This window comes from Homo sapiens, chromosome 14 (assembly GCF_000001405.40).
Source record: "Homo sapiens chromosome 14, GRCh38.p14 Primary Assembly".
In the NCBI taxonomy this organism is placed as follows: domain Eukaryota; kingdom Metazoa; phylum Chordata; class Mammalia; order Primates; family Hominidae; genus Homo; species Homo sapiens.
This window is the reverse complement of record NC_000014.9, coordinates 57,056,668-57,080,095: the sequence shown is the minus strand read 5'-3', so window position 1 is coordinate 57,080,095 and position 23,428 is coordinate 57,056,668. Positions and strand designations below refer to the sequence as shown.

Genomic DNA, 23,428 nt, shown 5'->3' with positions numbered 1-23,428 from the left:
GGCTGACAGTGAAATAAAAATAGTTTGCCCAATCAAATTTATTTAGACCAGTCACATTTCATCAGACCCCTGACAAGACTTACTGCATGTGAAGAGTTTGGGGTTTTATGATTCTTGTCGTGCCAAGACCTCTTCATGAATTGAGAAGAGAGAGGAATAGATGTGAATAAACGTCACTTCTTTCTTAGGTGCTGGAAAGGCTTTCTGTGGTGCAATGGACTATAACAAAATTTTCAGAGCTCCTCAGATATGCTGGTTATACTAACGTAGGGTTAAGTTATAGCAACTTTATTAATGGAGAGCCATGGGTTGGGGCAGGGGACGGACAAGTAGAATGGCAATTGAAAAATAGAGTTGTTACCTAGAGTCTCCAGACATGGATCTTTCAAAGTGCTTTAATGTCAGTTTTGAAAAGGTTGACTGAAGACTCCTTGGTGATTTACTTGTATGCAAATTCCAATAGAACCTTAACGATTCACTCTTTTTCTTGCCATATGGAAGTTCTCTCTTTGCTGATCCAATTGCAGGCATAATTCTTTACCTGCTCTCCCTGCTTGCAGAAGATGACAGTCAAGCGAACCTGAGATGATTGAAGAGATGACAAGAGAGTAGCCAGTTGTTCTAAATGAGTTAGTGTCTTGACCTTCATTCATTAAAAAAAAAAAAAAAAAAAAAAAAATATATATATATATATATATATATATATATATATATATATATATATATATTGCATGCCTATTATTTGCCTCACATTGTTCTACGTGCTGGAGATACATTCATTAACGAACAAGACGAAAACCCTGTCCCCCTGGAGTTTACATTCTAGTGGGATTTGGAGAAAGAGCAGAAAATAAGCAAATAATTGTGTCAGAAGGTGACAAGTGCTTTGGAGAAGAGTAAAGCAGAGAAGGTTTTGAGTGAATGGTACAGGGAAAACGATGGTGATGGCAATTTTGAATAGGAAAGTCAGGAAAAAGCTCACTGAGAAGTGCCACTTCAGCAAAGGAGTATGGGAGCCATTAATGTAGATATCTGGGACAAGAGCTCGCCAGGCAAAGAAAACACTAAGTGCAAAGACCCTGAGGTGGGTTGCGCCTGCTATGTCCTAGGAGTTAGCAGGAAAGAGAATCAGAACCTACAAACGTCTCAATGGACCAACCCAAACAAGCTGGAATCTAACAGGAGTGATGAAGTGTAAGGGGTTGGTAATGAGGTTAGAGAAGTAATGAGGGACCTGTTTGTGTAGGCCTTTGCAGGCCATTGTGGGAACATTTTCAGGTCTCCCAGGGAAAAAGAGAAAACAATATTAATCAACCACTGCCTTAGTCAGTTTGGGCAGCTATAACAAATTATCATAAACTGAATGGCTTAAACAACACCATCTCTTTTTCTCACAGTTGTAGAGGCTTAAAGTCCAAGATGAGAGTGTCAGCATGATGAGGTTCTTGGTAAAAGCCTCTTTTCTGATTGCAGATATTCATCTTCTTGTATCCTCACAGAGGGGAGGGAGACAGAGAAGAAGCAAACTCTCTCATGTCCCCTCTTATAAAGGCACTAATCTCATTTATGAGGGCTCTGCCTTCATAACCTAATCACCCCTCAAAAGCCTCAGCTCCCAATACCATTACATTGGGGGTTAGGATTTTAACATATGAATTTTGGAGGGACACAAATATTCAGTCCATAACAACCATGATTGACCATGATAGAGGTAGAATAGAAAACAAGAGAGGAGCAAAAAGAGTAGAGATGAGAAATAGTCTGTTGTTTAAAAGATAGAAGCAGATGGAGTCTGCGAAGTATAAACCAAGGGCTGGCTTTTTCTGTAAAGGATCAGATAGTAGATATTTTGGGCCTTGTAGGCCATATGGTCTCTGTCACAATGATTCAACTCTGCCTTTACAGTGTGAAAGCAGCCATAGACAATGTAGAAATGAATATGTCTGTGTTCAATGAACTTTATCAATGATGAGCTAGATTCGGCCTATAGGCTATAGTTTGCTAACATGCATATAGAATAATAATTTGTGTAGATTTAAATGAGAAAGCAAAGAATCACTAAAACTGAGTTATTATAGAGTAGTCTTATCTCTTCATTTAGTGGGACTATCAGTGTGCTAGATTAAGTTAAATAGGGCCAATATTACAGAATTGGACTTTACCAAGACACCTAAGAAATTCTTTCCTTATTTTCTTACAAACAAGATGGAGAAATCATCTTGGATTCAAGAACAATCCATTAGTAACTGATTAAACAATCCATTAGTAACTGATCAAACAAAGCCGAACAGGGGGAAGGCTAGCATGGCTGCATCTCCTGCTTGGCTCTAACCTTTTGCTGATGGGTTCATCTAACATTGCTCACTTGGTTATGCCAGCCTATGAGTGACAGTGGCTTCCCGCTCTGGCTGCTTTCTGGGTTGCCTTATCATTCCCTGTTTGGCTTCTCAGGTCTTCCGTTTTCTGTGAAACAGCTCCCCTGTATTAAATTGTCTCTGTTTTAAATGCTCAGGGTGGTTTCTGTTTTCCTGGTTGGACCTCGACTGACACAGGCACTAACATGAATGTTACCCTGGAGGAAGGTTTAGACTGCTGTGTTGCCAGGCTCTCTTGTCTGCTCTTACCATTTTTATCAATAACTTGGATGATGATGTAGCTGGGATGCTAATCACATTTGCAAATGGCCTGCAGCTCATTGGAAAAGCTATCTGCTGGATAGCAGAATCAGAATTTTAGAATATCTAAATGGGCCAAATCTAACAAGAAGGAATTTAATAAGAAAAATGTAAAGTCCTGTACTTGGGTCCAAAAAATAACATCAAGTATAGTCTGGGGAAATTGTGACATAATAGCATGTGAGTGTTTCAGGTATTCGTATTGACATCAAAATGAAGTAAAGATTAGCAATAAAATGAACAACAAAGGAAGTACTGGTTGCATTAATACTTTAGTGCAGATAAAAAGGGACCCACCTGGAACTATTCTCTTTTTTCTTGGTCAGACCACTCTTAGAGTGTTATGTTTAGTTTGGGGAACAGTTTGGAAGTAACATAGACAAAGTACTTTGGGACACAGGGGAATGTCAGAACAGTAAGAGGAAGTAAGAGTTATTGAAGGAAACTAGAAAGAAGCAGTCAGGGAGATGAGTGGGAATAAAGTACTTCCATGTCTAAAAGTATTAAAAGGGTACCACATCAGCAGTGGTTCGATGGAATGAATATATTAGCTGATACTTCTGAAAAGGCAGAGGTTGCTTTTTCTCCCTCTGTAGCACACTCTACCATCTTACATATTCATATTAGAAAAACTTTTCTTATGTTTATACCAAAATTATCTTGTGCTAGTGAAAGTCCTGATGCAGTCATTGTTGAAATGAAAGCTCAATTTTGCATTTAATCAATGGCTCAGGAATCTGAGACTTATTCTTGTTCTAGGTACTTACTCCTTTTGCAGCCCTGGACAACTTTTTTACTGTGTCCATTTCCTCACCAAAAGAAACTGCTAAGGAGGCTCTGTTACACATTTAGCAAATACTGGACTCCCGGAGCTTAGTGAAGGTTTTTGGTTTTCTTCCCTTTTCTGCTTCTTACTATTTATATGTTATGCAGAAATCAGAGGTACAAACAGCATGGGGTTTCTCTGCAGATGTGATAAGAAGAAATGAGTAAGAGAAAACTAGAACGAAATTAAGAATGATTGCCTTGATATTCCATACAGGAGCTGACACCCAGGCTCGTTAGAGCTGCTGTTATTGCTGTTTATCGCGTATTTTCTTCTTTTGTTTCTTGGGTTGGGAGACTTTTATAGGCTGAATACTTAGTCTGCATTGTGCTCTAACAGAAACTTCAGCTTCTATTTTTGCGTAATTTTGAACATCAAGCTGCTTTTCCTTTGAACTCCAATTTTTAGCTGTGGGACACCTTTGGTCTGGTCTGCTTCCTGGGTAACCACTTCCTTCTCTTGCTTCTTTGGGAAGAAATTAAGAAATTGATTGACTCTTTTCTGTTCAGACAAAAATCAACCTACTGAACAAATAACCTAGAGTCAGGAGTCAGCGTTTCCTGACGTGGCCCAATAATGTTAAACTCATTAACACACTGGATATTTCAGTGTGTTTAGCATGGACAGATAAAAAAGAAATGTTGAATAATGTTTAGCCTGATATTTTGTGCTATTTTGATGTATTTAGGAAAAACCGTGGGTGTTGCTAGCTTTAACACACGTTTCTTTTAATGTTTTGGGATAACATGAATTATTACACTTTCGTGTGTGATACAGTTATACTTAACGCATTCTAAAATAATTCATGGAGTTCTAAAATAAGAACACTAGGTTTTTATAGTAAGTATATTATATTGTTAGTTTTAAAAATATTATAACCAGATGAGATCTTAGTGATTATTCAATTTCTGTTACAGATAAGGTTAGGTAAAGCCCAGATAGGTTAAGTGAATTCCCTATGATTTCCAGCTAGAGTTAGGCTTGGAACTCAAGAATCTTGGGTTCTTTCTCTTAGGTCTGCATGTTTTCTGCTATACCATCCTTAGGAAACTCTGTTATCTCCTTACCCACAATTTCATGTGTAGATAAAATGAAGATCATAAATAGTGTTGTAATGACATAAAACAATACTTCCATCAGCTCAGAATTGGGACTTGTCTACAATTCTGTTCTAGTGAACAGAAAATGGATATGGATTTGTAGACATCACTTGCTTCATTTGTGCTAAGCTGCATCATTACGAAATTTTATTTTTTATTTACTGAAAGTGCTCTTTTAGACTTATAGTGACACCAATTTCTGTAATATCTTACCTTGTGTATAAGTAAAAATAAAATGTAAGCAAAACTAATGGTACTTCTAATACTTCTTTACAGGCAGTGTTCAATTCTGAATTATTTTTGGACTTGCAGTTGTTGTTACGCATGTTTTTCCACCCAATATTCTCATCAAGATTATCAGTGATGAAGTATTTCTGAAAAGAGTATTACAGTCTCTGGGGCTTTTTCCTAAGCCACTGACATCCATTCTGCAAGTTCAGAGGAACATGTTCAGGTAAAGACAGTGTGTTCGGGTAGAGAACATGTTTGAGTAGTGTCTCAACTGCCATCTGGTGACAGCAAGTTTAAGGTATATTCTGATTGCAGAGATGTTAAATGCTGAAAAAATTAAAGAAAAGAAGAAAGGACGGAAGGAAGGAAAAAAGAAAAGAAAGAAGGAGAAATAGGAAGAAAAGAAGGAAGAAGTTCTAGAATGAATGAAATATGGCATGTCATTTGGCAATTCTAGTATTTCTTCCCTATTTAGTGTGTGAACATGTATGTGTGTGTGTTTGGGAACTTCTGTGAGCCATCTTCCCCAGGCCCTTTAAGGAAGGACATTTGCAAAGCAGAATGAATGGGGCTCACATATAGTCGAAGGTAAATCTGAGAGACAGAATTTAAATGACATTTGCTCCTGGATTTAGCTGTGCCTGAAATTACTTAAAAGAGAATTTGGACTTTTCACTTAAGAGAGCAGATCAAATACCTTTTAAGGCTTACACTAGCTTGACTTAGATCTCTTTTGCTAGCACCCAACAAATCTTGACTAATAGATTGGGAAATCTGATGCATATTAAAGGAATATTCTATAGACTTCAGCATTTACAGGATAGTAAAAAGAAAGAAAATTTGTTTGGTTGCAATGTCAGATAATTCTCTCCATGAACAGGGACCAAAAAAAAATATTGGGGAAACATCTTAGTCCTTTCTTGGACTAAGAAAGGACTAAGACAAATAACAAAGTTTTTTAAACAAAGCTGAAGTTTTGAAATGTAGTATGGAAAGGACACTCTGAAACCTAGCCTGTCTTTGCCAGCAGAACTAAGCCAGTGCTCCTTCCTCCTGCAGACTGCTGGCGCGCTGTGGGGCGGGGGGCAGGGGGGAGGTCGCTGTGGCACTGTGCAATTGAGGATGAGCAGAGGCTTACCCTCTGCCACAGGAGGCTTCCACGGACCTTGCCACTTGCTGGGGATGACTGCCCAGTGGAAACCTATCTGTCATCCCTGGCTAACACATAGGAGGTAATGAAAAAGAAAATAAAAATAAAGGTAACACTTGCTTTCTCCCACTCCTTTCACTGTGCATGATGCCTGAGGAAAGATTAGAATCTATTCACTCCTTTTACCTTGCACAGAAACGTCTATGTCCTGCTCAGGGTTGTTTGGAAGGCATTTCTTTAAGGAAGGCTAGAGTTTGGCTGACAGTAATGTGTGTGTGTGTAAGTGTGTATTCACCCAACAGCGACGGTAACTATATAATTTATCATTACGGTAGAAGACCGCAGAGTGCCTGGAGGGATGGAAAGGGTGTCATTGGATCAAGATTTCTGAGCCGGTGAAAACAGGATCGAGGCAGTAGTAAGAGGCAAAACAGAGTAGTGTGGAGGGGGTCTGGGCTTTGGGCTCTGACTTCTTTATGACTTTCCTTTAAAGGCCAGGAGGATGGCCGGGCTGGTTTCCTGGCTGAGATTGACCAGTGTTGGGAAGGTTGGGGGAAGGAAAAGATGAGGAAGCACAATTTAGAAGCAGGTGATGTTCCTTCTTGAAGCCCTCATGTCCACATTGGGAGATCTCTTTATAACATTTCTAGGTATTCATTACCATAGGTGACCTTGGCTGTTAAGGCTGTTTCAAGTCCTACCTAGGCCTGCCCTTTTAGGTGAGGGTCTTGCTCAAAGCTCACCTCTCAGTCCTGCCTCTCCTTCCTCTCATTCCTTTGGCCAGTGTCATCTGCTGGGTGGCCAGAATGTTAGTCAAGTTCATTTGTATGCTAATTATTGTTCTTATCTTATGAACTTATAGCTCTCAAAATGATACTATGTGAAACAAGATATTTGGTACTAAAACAATATGAGTATTGGAGTCCCATCAACCTGGGTTCAAATCCTCATGCTCACCATATTGTTCTGGGGATGCTATCTAACCTCTCAGATTCTGCATCTGTGTAATGGGAAAACTAATGTCTATTTTACACAAAATTGTATATAAATTGCTTAGGCTAGTTGTTGGCTCCAAGTGGATGCTAAGTAATTATCTCTCTCTTTGTCTCTTTCAAATTCCTCAAAATCATAGATCATTATTCCCTATTTAATATTTAGTAGGCAGTTGTTTTCACTTGGCTGGAATTCATGTAAAGGAATGGGGTAAAGTAATTTTAAACATCATTTTAATTTTTAAAATCAACTTCTTGGCAATTCTGCTTCAAATACATTGTATTGGTTATTTGAAGTAAAACAATAATTCATATTTAGACTTTTCACTCATAGAACAAAAAATGAAATATTTTACCTGCTTCTAATAATGTTTAATATTAAAACAGTGATTGACTATGTCCTAGCATTACAAAAGGGCCAGCTGGCTGCTCTGTAGCAAAAGCTACCACGAAAACGAGGACAGCAGTGGATTTCTATGGTTTTGTTCTTTACAGAATGGAGGTAGATCATGAATAGTGGTCACAGTTTAAGATTGTTAGAAAGTTAAAGATAGGAATAAAAAGGGATGTTAAGCCATTTATTCAAAAATGCAAAATCAAAATTCTTCAGGCACGTGCCAACAGACATAGGCCTGTGGGGATCTGAACCTACAGGCCAAAGGCATCTCAGCAGAACTTGATTTTTTTGTTTGTTTGTATTCTTTCTATAACGACTTCACATCAATAGGAATATAAGGTAATTGTATTAATAAGAACAGGGCTAAATAATCATTTCCCTAGAGAATTGTTCAGTTTACTTCTGGTTCATATCTGAGAGTTGAGAGAATCCAAGGAAAAGAAAGGAGCCAGAAATGGTTCTAGGAGGGCTTGAAGGGAGGAGGCCTTTCTCTTGCCTCTGGGCAGCAGCCCTCCCCAAACGAGGAGAAGAGAAAAGCCAATTCACTGATGAGGAAATGTTTAATGAACTTCTCAGAATACCCACCACTGCCTGAATTAACCAAATGTGCACCAAGCTGATAATAGACAAACAACCTGCTTCAGCTTTGAGAAGCCTGGTTCTTGCCCCCTCGTGTAAAACAATTTCTTTCTCCTTTAACACAGTTTCTTCCTGGAGAATGTTTTCAGTGGGAGATAATGCACAGAAGGTGTACAATACCACTGGTTGTCAAAGAAAAGAGGCTGGGGTTCCTTCTAGTGGGTGGTAGGTAAGAATTACTAATCCAATCTGCTTGAGTTAACTCAAAACAAGGATTAGTGTAAAGTTCCAGAATATGTTAATCTTCCTTTATAGAAGTAAACTTCGGCACTGCCACCAACCCCATGGTTTATAGTTCCTGGGAACAATGAGCCAATTAAACTTGAGAGGGAAAAAGAATCTTGCCCAAGTTTACTGATTGTTACCTAATACTTGGAGTTGCTTTGATTCTTGATTATTTGGCTTTGTGTCTAAGACACAGGAAATAAAACATCATTTATTATTCATTAGAATGTTCCTAAATACAGCATACCTCCTAATTAAACACATACTCTTGTGCACTGGTATTTTTCGTCTCCCACCTTATTAAAGAGGCTGTTTAAAATGGCTTTTGTATATAGCTGATCTTGCTTTGCCAAATGTGTCCATCAATATTAATATACTTTTTTCAAAAGCACATCTTTAGAGCTTACATGATTAATGAATGGAACAAATTGTTAGTTATTTGGGTTTGACCCACTTGGTAGAGATTTTCAAATGGAAAAATAGGTTCTTTTTTTCAGAGTAAAAACATAGGAAAGGCTAGCAAAATATCTCCCCTTCTCCCCATCAATTTGACAATCATTTTGGGGAATATTTTTGCATCTAAAACTGTTGACATTAACTTAATTTTAATTAAGCTTTTCATATCTGAAAAATTAAAGTTATTTGCTTTCATTTATTTATTTGTTTGCTTTAGATAGGTAATGACTGGCTTATTGAAGTATTGGATCAGGAATAGAAGTTGCAGAATATCAATTACTTTGATCATTAGTGGTCAGACAGTTATCAAAAACTACTCAAATAACTCAATAACAACAACCAACATAATAAATACTTACTAGGTACAGGAACACCTTACATATTTCTTTATTTAAGCAATTTAAAATCAATTTTAAGGTTTAGTTTGTGCTGCTTAAAACTAATAGGGACATGCTCATGTAACATCTCAAGATATCCTAAGTTAGCTTATATGTTAGAATACCTTCTACAGAGATTTTTTGTTTTAAGAGCTTGCTGGGAAATGCTAATTTTTCAATTAATGAAATTTGCAATGAGATCACTATATTTTGAAATTCTGTATCTTTCAAAGAATATATTTTCATTATTAATTTAAATTTCAGGTGCCAGAATCATTTTTTAAAATAGTGTATTTAAATTTATTTATACTATTCAGATTTAACAACTTGATAACTTGAACCAAATTTCATTTTCTATTAGCAGGCTTTTTATCTTGTCTTACTGTTCAACATCAAATTAAAGAAATGAAACGAACATTGGAAAAGTTACTAAAGTTCAAAATGTCGATTCTCTTTTCTCATCAGTGCCCATGTATAAACTTCCTACACATCTTTGGGAGCAGTCTCCCTCGAATAGGCTTACATGAATGCAGTTCAAGAACTTGGGCTTTTTGGTATAGACAGTCTAGCAATGTTCTTGAAGATTGGGAAATTGTTTACATTCCAAGTATGTGAAAATGTCTATGTGTTGTTGTTATTGTTGTGTGTGTGTGTGTGTGTGTGTGTGTGTGTGTTTGTAATTTTTGGATTTTATTTGCAGTATCAGTATGCAAATATATTTATTATAAGTTGAATCTCATTGAAATGAAAATGAAAAGGCAATACTATTCCTTTAATATGGTTCACTAACCTTGTTCACACTGAGTTACTGATGCTCAGTAGGAGTTTGCCAACACCAGTTCTACTCAACCCTTGATGATTATGGAGGATTTAATTACAATTGAAAATGTAAAAAAAAAAAAAGGAGTTGAAATCTAATCCAAAAATCAATTTTGCATAGAATTTAATAACAGATAAAAGCTTAAAATTCTATAACAAACAAATGAGAAATATCAGCACTAGGAAATAAGACTTTAGTTTCCAGGATCAATCCCACTACCTGTGTCAATGCATCCTGACTTCGCTTGTTTTATCAACACATGACAAAGGCATTGGTCTCACACTGAGGCATGGTAAATACATTACGAAGTAAAGACAAACACTATAAACAGGACAAACCCTGCGAGGCAAAGGCACAAACAAGGCTGCAAGCAAATAGTTTCTCCCTCTCTTGTATTTAGGCAGATTTCCCTGGAACCACAGTCTTTAGTTTTTAGATTCTTGTTTTTTTTTTTTTTTTTCTTTTTTTCCGAGACGGAGTCTTGCTCTGTCACCCAGGCTGGAGTGCAGCGGCGTGATCTCGGCTCACTGCAACCTCCACCTCCAGGGTTCAAGCAATTCTCCTGCCTCAGCCTCCCGAGTAGCTGGGATTACAAGCATGCGCCACCACACCGGCTAATTTTTGTCTTCTTAGTAGAGACGGGGGTTTCACCATGTTGGCCAGGCTGGTCTCGAACTCTTGACCTCGTGATCCACCCACCTCGGCCTCCCAAAGTGCTGGGATTACAGGTGTGAGCCGCTGCGCCTGGCCCATATTCTTGCTCTTGTGCCTGCTGTGAAATGTATGGGAAACAGTCTTTAGTGGTTGCCCATGAAGTTAAGACAGCTCAGGAATGGTTTATTTCTCAGACGCCTCTTCTGTATTTGCCACACACACCAACAGAAAAACCACAGGAAAGAATCAGTGAAGTTTCCTGCATTTTTCCTTGTTTGGCTTGAATGCCTGCAATAGGGGCTCAGGAGCGTGGAGCTGCCCTCTGTTTTATTTATAATATGAACCTCCTGATACATTACAGCAAAAGTTAGCAAATATTATTTACAGTGTAGCATGTGTTTCCATTATATTTTCTTGATGCAGCGATCTGGGTTCTTAGAAAGCTGACTTTTTAGTTGTTTTTTTAAGCATGGACAGTGATAAAATATCAAGATTTGTGAAAAGGCATCCACTTCAAGATAAAGTTACTGCTACAATTTTAAAGGATGACTGTTGAAATTGCTGGTATGTCCTTAATATTGAACCCCAAATTTTCCCATTAGGAGGCCATTAGGACTTTGATGACGCCTTCAATGTTCCCCAGCCAGGCCTCCTCACTAGGTTCTTCTGCAAATAAATAAACAGTCCCCCTCCCCAGTGTCCCGGCTTCCCCAGGGGAGGAGCCCCTGGCTGGTGTGCAGGGCATCTGACTCACTCTCCTTTGGGTAACACTAGTAATAATGTAACTGTATTATGGTCCTGGATGGAAGGGAACAGCGGATCATTTGCTTGAAAACACGACCTTTTAATTTAAACAAAAGGCTTGAAAAAATAAAAGTGGGTCTTAAATGCAGTTTAATCAGTCAGGCGAGAGATGTCTAATGAAGCTGCCAGACGGATTTGTAGCCAGGCTGTCACTTCGGCCATCATGTTTACAGCTCCGGGAGTGAGATTAGCACTGTGTGAAGGCACAAACTCGGTCAAAATTTCCTGTGTCTGGGATGCCTGTAAATTTTGACAATTTGACAAATTATTTTGTTGCAGTGATGATGGTTTGGAAAACCTGACATGTAAGAATTTAGTTCTTTGATCTTCGCTTCTTTACACTGGCCCTAGAGAGCATTATATCATTGCAACAAAAGGTAACAACCAAAACCAAAACATTGATAATTGGATTTTTACATTTTATATATACATATATATATATGTATTTATAAAATATTATTTCATCTGGTGCTTTCAAGGAAAACTTGCCATTTTGGCCCATATTTCAGCTAAAAATTCTTTCCAAAGATTTTTTTTTATAGAGGAAAATCACCTATGTGTTAGTATGACAATATCATGTCATAGTTATGAAATAGTTCTTCTACAATTTGAATTTTCATTGCTTTGTACCTTTTACCTTCAGGAAAAATGCCATCCTGTCTTGGAGGTGTTTAAGTAAGTATTGAGGAATTCAAGTCAGTATTTTACTGTATTAGTATTCCTTCTTAGCACTGTTAGACAAGCCAAATCATAATTTTCTTTTGAAATAAATGTGCACTCAGTGTATACTTGAAAACATGCAATCAAAAGGAGTGGTCAGAAAACTTAAGAAGAATAGAAACTTTTTAATTATTGTTTTTCAGTAATTAAAAAATATTTTCCTTTAATTTTTTTTGAAAATTAAAGGAAAGGGAATAATTGCCCTGGGAAAAAAAGAATGGTTGGGTCTTTTTATTTCTTTTCTTCTTTTTCGAGTTTGCCATATTTATTTGCTGCAAATGGCATGCAGTTGTGCATAAACATTAATATTATCCACTTTGTTTCCTCTTAATAATACAGGGAAGCCTCAGCTTAATCTCTCACTCATTTCATGCCAAAACACAAGTGTATTGCTTTTGTTTTACTACATGTTTCATTCCATCTGTTGGGAGCCCAGTAAGTCAATATTTATCACATTTATAGATTCTGAATCACTAGGGGAAAAAAATCACTTCTGGGAAAAAACGTGCATCTATCATTCTCAACTATTTCAAAGTTTAAAAGTGTTGTCTCTGTGATGTTGACTTTGGTTTTTTGAGCTAAAATAATGCAGCTTGCATTATGTTTTAATTAAAGCAATTTTAAACTACATGTTTTCAAAGTTTTTCGTTTTCCCCAAACCTCTCTGTAATTGCCTTGTCATGATTATCATTTTCCTTTCACTGTTGCTTTCTATAGAAGCCCCAGGAAAGAGTTACTAAAAATTAAATTTCATGCTTGCATGTGTTTCTGTGATCTGCAGCGTGTATGATCTCTGAGTGGAAAACTTCTCTGAAAATAAATGGATTACCCTTTTTACTACACTGTCTGATGTCTCTTCAGCAGATAGCATTGCTTCCCTGTGATCTCTAACCCACCACAATTGAAATGACAAGCGTTGAAATGGGGGCCTCACGGTGGCGCCCTCTGCCTTTGCCGGCCCTTTCTGCAGCACGGAACGGTTCACGCCGCAGAGCACCGGTTCTCAAACTTGAATAATGCCTGGACACCCTTGGGAAGGATAGAATCATCTTCAGAAACCCCACAACACGTCAGTGGAGTCCACTTTGAGAAATGCTGACCTAAAAATTAGAATCTTATTCTATTAAAATGGCTTACATTTGAGAATTATCACTGCAAAGAAAAGTTCCGTCTTTAGAACTGCTAAAAGGTTGAGTTTTTACATCTTTACTCTGCTATTGAAACAAAACTATTAAAATTATCTTAAATATCCTGAAAGTCTCAGACTCCTGAAAACGTGTCCACAGATCCCTGCTTGAAAAACCTGCCGGAGTACCTGCTTTTCCTTGCATTTGTTGGCAGAAGATGAGCGTTTGACCTTTTACAAACTGCTCTGTAAATATCATCATTGCTTAGTTTGTGAAAGACTAATGTGTTTCCACTAACAAAACTGTCTTTCCAGGGTTGCTGCTTTCTAGAATAATGCTTGTTTTCCTACTGGGTTTTCTGTTGCTGGTGTTTTTTTTAAAGGCAACCAAATTTGTCTAAGGGATTGCACTTTAAGGCAATCCAGGGACTTTTAATGAAGAACTGATGAGAAAGCCAAAGTCTCTGGTTGAAAAAAAAAAAAATGTGACAAAGTAGCAGATCTCAAAAATATTAACCAAGTAGATTCTCTAATATTTGATACTTTAAACGCAAACTGTTTTCTAAACAATGTTTGTAAGCAAATGTTAAAAGTATTTTTTTCCGGGATTACTGCTTCTATATTAAACAGATAGTATGAACAAACGATAGAGTTGGCTTTTCTATCCTCACAGCAATCAGTAAGTGTGGACTTTTTTTTTCTTAAGAAGAAACACCAAAATAAATGATTCCTCTAAAGGATCTAGTATTCCAAAAAGGGTGAATAAAGAAAGTTTAGAACATTGATATTTCCATAACATAACTAATATGTTATTGTTTGTAACAGAGGAAGGAAATAAACCAGTTGACAGTACTATTTATAAAAGAGCTTTGAATTAAAGTCTTTGGCTAGGAAAATCAAGCCATATTGCTCAAAGGTACTAGGATTCCTCTAGTCCTTCATGGATATTGGAATTCTAATGAGCTTACAACCACAGGTGAAGCTGGCAAAAGTTGTCTTTTGAGCCAACCCACACACCTCGAAAACAAATATATAATAGTTATTCATGTGCCACCATGGGAATGTACCATAAAACCAACAGAAAGAAAAATAATAAACATGTCATACAATAAGCATATGCTATGATGCGTGGCTTCAGATTTTCAATAGCTGAGCTTTATTACAATAACCACAACATGAACAGCTTTGGGAAACAACAACAGGGTCAACACGTAGGCCAAAAGAATCCATCAGTCAAATGGTCTTCTTTTGAAAACCCAGCTATCTGTGTTGAGCTAGAGTTAAGTGCTTTGTACCAGAAGCCTTTGTTCATCCTAGCAGCTTCATAGATATAAATAAAACTAGTTTGCCTGGATTGAAATTTATTTTTGATATGTCATTAAAGTTTTGTAAGTAAATTATTTATTATTAATCTCAGAAAGGGTTCTATTTTAATTAACCCGATATGTGATCATGCTGTATATTCTAGAAGACCCCAAGTAATCGGTTCTAAAAGCCTAAAAATTAGGAAAATGTGCACTTCCCAAGAGGCTCAACATGCCTTTTGTGTAAGAATTAGGTAGCAGTTCTTTTAGATGGTTATTATTTTGTGGGCTTAAAATACTGCATCAAAAATGATTTAAAATGTTTATATAAAATGAAAATTATGTCCTCAATTTCCTGCAGTGTTATTTTAAATTTTAAATATTCAGCAATTTTCAAAAAAATTTAACCCCTTAGTAATTTCTTATAGTTTACATATATAATCCGGCTGTGCTAATATTATTTTATTAAACCAGAATGTGGTAGCTAGAGACAGGGATTTTGTTTCCTCTTCTCTTGTATCCTCAGCACTTAGATCAGTGCCTGACATGTAGTAGGAACCCAATAAATATTCGTTGAATGAATGAATAAATGAATATTATGTTAAGCTGATAAAGGGCATAAATTTTAGTGGTATTTATTACATGAAGATGGTAATTATGGTTATCAAAGTGAAAACAGATACTGCCTTTTGATGTTTGCACTTCCCTAAGTGTGAACCAGCAGCACCTACCCTTTTAAAATGTTCTTGCATCTAGCAGAACTGATTTATTCTTCTCTGACTTGGAAAACTTTCTGCTTCCGAAGAAGATTTTTCTTAAATGAATCCTCACCAGGGAAACGTCTATTTTTAAGCAAACCATAAAGAATTCATTAGTTTATATGATTGTTGCTTTGGCTCTTTCCCATAATATCTTTGTTTTTTGTGAAGCCAGGGAGTGTGCTTTCACCTGTGATCTACAGAATTAAAGCGCAGGGTGTGTCTGATGTGTAAGAGCCCCCACTTGAATGTCTCATAGCACCTGCTGGGCATTAGCCTTTAGGTATACATGGAGGTTTTCTGGGAAAAAAAATAAAATAAAATAAATAATAATAATAATAATAATAATAAAAAATAAAGTCTCTACCAGACTTACAAAGAAGAATTAAGTATTTACTCTTTTAGAAATTCATTCTATTATGAAATCTTAGCACTCAAATATGTCAAGCCTTTTATTTTTCTGTGAAGTAAAATGGCATGCATACCAGGGACAAAAGAACTATTGGCAACGATTGAAATATTTAACAGTGCAGTCGAAGTGGAGGAGAGATATTTCAACTACAAGTAACTACTGTCCCCAGACTTGCATAAGGCACTTTGGGAATTCAAAGCAGAGGAAAATAAGGGATCTGACTTAGAGGACTTGTAGTGAATTGAGGAAATAAAGCCCGCGTACATGTGCAAGCACACACACACACACACACACAAATTAATAAGAGAATAATTAAAAACAACACATGAATAATAATAATTGCAAGATGGCAAGATTAAAAGCTTATATAGAAATCCATGAGTACAAAGTGCCTTCCGAGAGTGGGATTCGTCAGGAAAAGCCCTCTGAAGTAGTGGGATTTGAGCAGAGCTTGTTAAATGCAATATTTTATGTTGCCTTTCGTTCAACAAACATTTGTGAAGTGCCCCTGTGGGTTGGGTTCCGGGTTCGCAAAAGGCTGGGATGTCAAGATGAACAGGACAAGGTCAGATTCCCAAGTCTTGCTGTTCATTTTGCCATCAGCCCAGGCTATGTTCTTAATTATATCACAGAATTTTTAGTTCAGTATTTCCAGATCTAGGGACTGATGTTGATTTTCTCTGGTCACTACAAAAGCAAGAAAAATTAGAAGAACAGTGGAGGCTGTTATCCAAAGTGGATCACCACAGCTGATGTGGAAAAGAAAACCCAAAAATTCTGTGCTAAAAGGAGCCTAACTGAGGTCTCAGGCACACGTGCACTGTTAAAACTTATCTAGCAGTTTGGCCTATTCTGTCAAAAAGTATCCAGGCCAATTATTTGCTATTTTGCTTACAAGCCTTGCTTTATTGAACTTTTTAATTAGTGGAGTGGTTGTTATACAGATGCAGATTTTAAAGGTTTCCTCCAAATTTTCACTGATGTTTTCAATCTCTAGTACTTACAACATTATATTAAACAATTTTTAAGATTTTTAATTTTTTTCATGGAGGAAGGGCTTGTTTTTTAGCTTTTCGAATTGTCACATTTTAAAAACAAAAATTGCCTATGACACACAAGTCCTCCTTTTTCTTCTAGCTGCTGTACCCACCACTGACCACCCTCTGTGAATACCTTTTCTGTGTATTTTCTGGCCTCTCTTCCCGAGACGTTTTCTGGTTGCTCCCCCCTCACTTCTCTGGTCTTGTATGATTGCATCTAAATGTTGCTATCTGTCAGAGGTCTTTGCCTACTTCTACTGAGGCATCTACAGTGTGTTTCAAAATCCCTACTTAGTTGATTTAGTTTTCTCACATCTCAAAACTAGTGTATCCGAAATTAGCCGGGCATCGTGGTGCACGTCTGTAGTCCCAGCTACTCTGGAGGCTGAGGCACAAGAATCGCTTGAACCCAGGAGGCAGAGGTTGCTGTGAGCTGAGATCATGCCACTGCACTCCAGCCTGGGTGACAGAGCGAGACCCTGTCTCAAAAAACCCCCCCCCAAAAACAGCAACAAAAAAGCTGTATCAAATATGGAATTTGCTCTCTTCTAAACGTGCTTCCTTTTCTGCTCACCCTTTCTCTGCCAGTGTTACCATTTTCCAACCTCCCCGCTGAAATGGTACCACATTTTCCAGGTTTTCTGCCTACTTTTCCAATACTTCTTTCTCAGTCTCTTTTGTCAATCTTCTTCTGCAGCTCACTCCCTGAACATCAGTGTTAGCTGGAGTTCTGTCCCAGCTTCTTCTTTCTTGTCATCCCATTTGGTTTTCCATGGTGAGCTCTCTCAAACCTGTGTCTCCAGCCCAGATCCCGAAATCACTGTGTCCAACACTGTATTCATCATTTCTCCCCAATGCCACCCTCTCCCCACTCACCACATGCACCTTTTTGTGTATTCAGTGGCTAGAATGAATGCCTAGGCATCCACTCCAGAAATCTGGGAATCACCCTTGACTCCTTCCCGTACTCGCTTCCCACACTCGGTCAGTCCTGTCAATCAGAACTCCTTTGTGTCTCTGGAGCATATACTCTTCTCTCAACCCCTGTTACCAGAGCCTTATTTTAGGCCCTCATCAATTTTCATCTGGATTTCCAAGGTATCATCTTGGTTAATACTTGTATCAGCCCATTTTCCAGAAGAAAAAAACTGAAGCTTAATGACATTAAGTAATTATTGCTTATGATGACACTTGCTGGTACCAAGATTTGAACATAGGAAGTCCAGCTCTAGGATCCTCACTCTTAAGCACAAATTATACCACGTCTCTGTTTTGGGAAAAGGAAGGGGGCAATTAGATGGTATATTCTATTTCTTTGCTACTCAAGTGTGGGCCAGAGACCTGCAACATCACATTATCAGGGACTTTGCTAAAAATGCTGAATCTCAGAGCCGCCTAGGCCTCCTGAATCAGAATCTGCATTTACCAACATGTCCAGGTGTTTCATGTGCTTGTGAAGCGCTGCTCTAGTGCAGGTGTGAAGAGTACTGTGTAAGTGCATGTAATTAAACCCAACACTAGCCTTCAGGCCCCCATTCTTAAATTTCCTCTCAAATAGACTTATCTGTGGTTTGAGGTAAAAATTTTTGTTTTAAGACAGAAGCACTTCTAACCAATGGCAATGCATCTTTCTAACACAGCTTAAAGAAAGCTTTGGGGACACATAAGAAGAGAAGTGGGGAACTGGGGTCACAGCTGTGTGACCTGAAGTATATTTGCTCACTCCGGGATGCCAGCTCCAGGTCCCGCCATACCCTGCACTGTTTTCTACCAGTGCTAACAGGGGAAGGAGTACATAAAGGCATTTCTAAGAGGGTGGCTAATATGGAGGGGAAATATAGCGCCACCCATAGATTTCTTACACTGGCCTGATGACTGAGTCATACTCATTTATAGTCATGAAACAGAGGAGAATAACCAAGACTCGAGTGCACAGTGAGTTGGCAATAGATGTAATCATAAGACCCAAGAATTCCTAGCTCTTATTCCCTGGCTCTAGCTATGGGACCACACACGTGAAATCATCTTTTTTACAGATTATTGAGTCCCCCCTTACAAAAATCTTGCCCTGGGACCCCTTGTCTCCATCCCTGAGGCTATGCACATGGAGGAAATCATGAATGCCACCTCATCTGCTGTGTAGGGGAAAGATTTACTTTCTGTATTTGCACTGACATCTACAGTCTGTGTCTATAGTCTTTGATGCCTCAGAACTATATCCAAAGGCTGCCATTGTCTTACAGCTTATGTAAGAAAATCCTTATCTTGGCTTTACAATTAACACAGAAGTGCTAAATGGCAATATTGATGAGTTTGAGAAAAGAACCAGAAATCTAGGGAAAATGTGAATGAATCTCTTTTTTTAAAAGGCAGGCTTAGTGAAATTTGTACCACTGGATCCAATCCCATTGAAACGGGTTGTAAAAAAATAAAGTTTCCATGCTGCTAAGCTGCTTTTATGTGGCCGTGGCATCTCTGCACGCAGCTTGTATGTGTGGGATGCTTCAGTTCCAAGTCAAGCTTGTGCAAAGGTAGACCTCAGATCTGCTGTCTGCACTTAGGCGTCTTCCAAGAGAAACACCCGCCAACTCAATCATTGTCTGACTAAGAGAACCTGGAGTCCTCAGATAGGGAAAAACGAAAAGTTAAATCAAGCAGTTTCATACATACCTGTGACTCATTGTGAAACCCAAGCTGCAGAAAACTGACAGCAGGAACAGAGAATGCTGACCTAGTTTGCCAGAACAAAGGTAGGATTTACTTTTTTGGTTGTGAATTTTTGTTTCTTTATCAAAACAGAGGAGTTTAATGAACATTAGTTCTTAAGGAAACAGGAGGCAGATAACTGAGGGTGGAGCCGGGTCTCCTTTATCCTCCCTCTTCCCTGCCTGGCCCAGTCACTAGGCCTCAGCTGAAACCTTCAAAACCCTTATCTGCCCACTGAAGTGGCAGACTTCTTTAACCTTTGACCTAAATTGTGTTTGAACTTTCATCTTGAGGAAGCAAAGTTTTAACATTAAGCCACTAAAGACTTCAAAAGCCCTGGATTTATGTCCTGTTCTTTAGCAAGAATCCCAATACCCTTGTCTTTGACCAACAAATAAAGTGGGGCTTGTTTGTCCCAATTCTAGTAGTGATATGCTAGGTGAAGAATAATAATCAAGAGGAGGGTATTTATAGCGCTTGATGCATTTTAATAGATAAGCTTCCCAAGAAACAAATCAAAGGAAATATTTCCCTACAGTTTTCAAGACTTTTTATTTGGAGTTCTTATTTTTATTCACAGAATAAATGTGAACATTACTTAAGAAAGACTTTCATTTCTGCCTCTCTGAGAGTATCTAAGGAATTTTAAAGTAAGTCATGTTAATATTTTGGGGTCCAAATTGAGAAAGTCCAAAAGTCACAATACAATATCTCACAATCTCTTTAGAGCCAGTTGCATTTGAAAAAACAATGACTATTTTAATGGATCGTCCTTTATATTCTCGCCTAAATTCACAGAGGATTTGCATTTAGCCATAAACATGCTCAGATGAGGACATGCCTTAAAGAGAGTATCTGAAGGGCAAAGTAAGTCTGAGAGGATTAACAGCAGAATAAAATCCAGATTAAATCAGATAACCAAGGAAAAATTAGTAGAAGAACTAGAAACATTTTAATGTCTGTAACAGGGAAACACCACCCTCAGTGCCCTGAAAAAAGAGGGATGCCCAACAGATTTAAATCAAAGGCCAAAACTTACTTTGATTTATATCTGTAACTCTTATGACTTGCTCTTTTATAAAAAAAAATTTTTACATTAATTTTATTTGTCCTGTCAATTAAAGTAACTGAGGCTGCCAAAACACTGTCATTTCTTATAACTGATTACTCTCCCCTTCCCATGGCTGTCATATGTGTCTCAAGTGTATTTGTCTTTGGAATGTTGTTCCTTTATTGCCTTTTGTGGGACCTGTCTTGCTCTGGCATTTTTACTGTGGTAGACACATTGCTATATTACAGTAAGCCAAAGGTCATCTACACAGCCATCAATTCTAAGAATAATTTTTTGGTTAATAAAAGTAATTTTCTTAGCTGAGGGCTACTTGCTGTGAGGAGGATTTATATTTGCCAAATCACATTTTCTAGAAAGTGATAGAATGTCAACCATCGAACTATAATTTTTGATGCTATAATAGTTTGTTAAAAACCAAATTTTCTTTCTTTAATGTGGCTTTTGAATACAGTAAGAAAGTTGAGTGAGGGTAAGTGACATGATGAAGCAAAAACATGTTTTGGGAAAATGTGTAACAAATGTTATTTGCTTCCTGGCTTAGAAAGCACCTAGGCAGAGAGAACAGAGGGAGTGTGTTGATTAAGAGCAGGAGTTGGAGCTACAGAGATATGGAATGGAAAACTGTCTCAGCCATCTGCAGTGATCCTAGACAACTTAATTAACTTCTCTCAGCTGGGGCTTTTTCATCTGTAAAATGGGCATGGCAATAGTACCTACCTCCTAGGTTTATTTGGAGAAAGAAATGGGATTTGCACAAAAAGCGTTTGGGTCTGTAAATGTGTATCTGCCAGGCAAGGCTGCTTATACAGCATTGACACACAGCCCCACATTCTCAAGGGCTTAAAACAACTGAGAAGCTCTTGTTGATGCTGATGTCCACTGCAGATTTGTGGGGTGCCAGTGGTTGTCTGCCCATCGAAGTCATTCCGGGATCCAGGCGATGGAGCAGCCACCCCTCAGATTTTGTTGTTTACATGCAGAGGAGAAGTGCAGTCTGCAGTTTTTCTTCCAGCAATTATGAAAAGCTCAGCCTACAAGTGACACATATCACCTATCATCAAACTTCATTGGCCAGAACCAGTCTTATGACCCCACCTACTCACACGGGGCAAGAAGGCGGATGTACCGGAGGCAGAGAGCTGGAAATAGTTGAACAGCACTAATGGAGACCACAAATATATTTTATACATACAAAGGTGGGAGGAGAGAGAGAACCCAATTCACTCTCTTTCTATAGGTGAAGCAGAGAGAGTTACTCCAGATCAGTGTCCAAGTACCATGATCGCAGTCAGGCAACCAGACAGCTGCAGGAGCAGGCGCCACCCCACTGAATACCCCAGGCAATTTAAGGAAAAATGTGGATCAAAAGGGAGGAGTTTCCCCAACAACAGGGAAGAAGCCCTTCCACCATTCCTACTAGATATTTAGTGGAACAGTATTATTGGAAACTTTTTTTTTCAGTAAGTCATTGCAGTGCACATACAATATTTGGCAAGAAAGAGTCTGTATGAGTGACCTTATCCATCAGCCAAAACGCCACCTGGGGTGGCAGCTGTTGGGTAACAGGGCACTCAGATGCAGTTGGGGGTTGGGCAAAATAAACATCTGATGTAATACTGGGCGAGTCACTTTAACCCTCTGATCCCCAGTGTCCTCACGTGTTAAATGGGAATAAGATTAGACTTGGCAGGAGGTTTGGGTCACAGGGAACAGATGAGATTATACTCAGAACTCCGGAAGCATGTTGGAGAGCCACTGGCACAAACAGCCACTCAACAATGTTCATTCATTCATTCACTCCATCAGAGTCACAGATCCTTCCTGTCTGCCCTCTTTAGAAAATGCAACATTCCTTTCAATTCTATTAATGCAGTCATTTTCAGAAATGGAGTTTCCCAAATGAACTCTGCCCTGGTTATGTGGCGATGTGCACAGTATGGCAAAAATGCCAAGGGCCTCAGTAGCAGGCACAGCAGGTCTGAGCTTTCAAGGTATCCCTGGGCCCTTGGACACAGGTCAAAGTTGCAGTCCTAACCCAGCTCGTGGGTTGGAACTGGTCAGGGGAGGCCCTAGCTAATTGGCAATGTTGTCAACTAACCAGGGGCTTTGCAGCCCTGCCACAGTCTGAGCCATGGGCACAGCCATTTCCTTGAAGAGGTGTTCGGCTCAGAGAGCCTTGGGCTGAGTGTCAGCTGGACCTGGGTTCTGGTCCTCATTCTGCTGCTGAGTTGCCTTGTTCAAGCCATGTAACCTCCCTGGTCTTCAGTTTCCTTTGGTGTAAAATGTCTGAATCGGGTTGCTGGTTTTTGACGTTCTTTTTCCCATCTTCAGAACTAAAGGAAATCTTGCAGTTCCCAAGTTAAAACAAATACAGGCAGAGCTGCTCTGAGCTCCAAGGTCTCTCCTGGAAAACTTCAGCTCCCTGTGTTTCTGAGAGGTGACAGCATGCTGGCAGTCCTCAGAGCCCTCGCTTGCTCTCGGCACCTCCCCTGCCTGGGCTCCCACTTTGGTGGCATTTGAGGAGCCCTTCAGCCCCCCACTGCACTGTGGGAGCCCCTTTCTGGGCTGGCCAAGGCTGGAGCCCACTCCCTCAGCTTGCAGGGAGGTGTGGAGGGAGAGGCACGAGCGGGAACCGGGGCTGCGTGCGGCGCTTGCGGGCCAGCTGGAGTTCCCGGTGGGCGTGGGCTTGGTGGGCCCCGCACTCGGAGCAGCCAGCCAGCCCTGCTGGCCCCGGGCAATGGGGGACTTAGCACCCGGGCCAGTGGCTGCAGAGGGTGTACTGATTCCCCCAGCAGTGCTGACCCACCGGCGCTGCGCTCGATTTCTCGCCGGGCCTTAGCTGCCTTACCACGGGGCAGGGCTCGGGACCTGCAGCCCGCCATGCCTGAGCCTCCCACCCACTCCATGGGCTCCTGTGCGCCCGAGCCTCCCCGACGAGCACCAC

At 39.2% G+C, this 23,428-nt stretch overlaps 1 annotated feature.

The window, feature by feature from the left end:
• Positions 18,899 to 20,098: an enhancer, noted in NCBI's record as "CDK7 strongly-dependent group 2 enhancer chr14:57526716-57527915 (GRCh37/hg19 assembly coordinates)". NCBI's record gives its function as "activates an origin of replication core promoter dependent on BRD2, BRD4, P300/CBP, MED14 and CDK7 cofactors, with strong dependence on CDK7, by STARR-seq in HCT116 cells {active_cell/tissue: HCT116}" and the evidence as "EXISTENCE:reporter gene assay evidence [ECO:0000049][PMID:35650434]".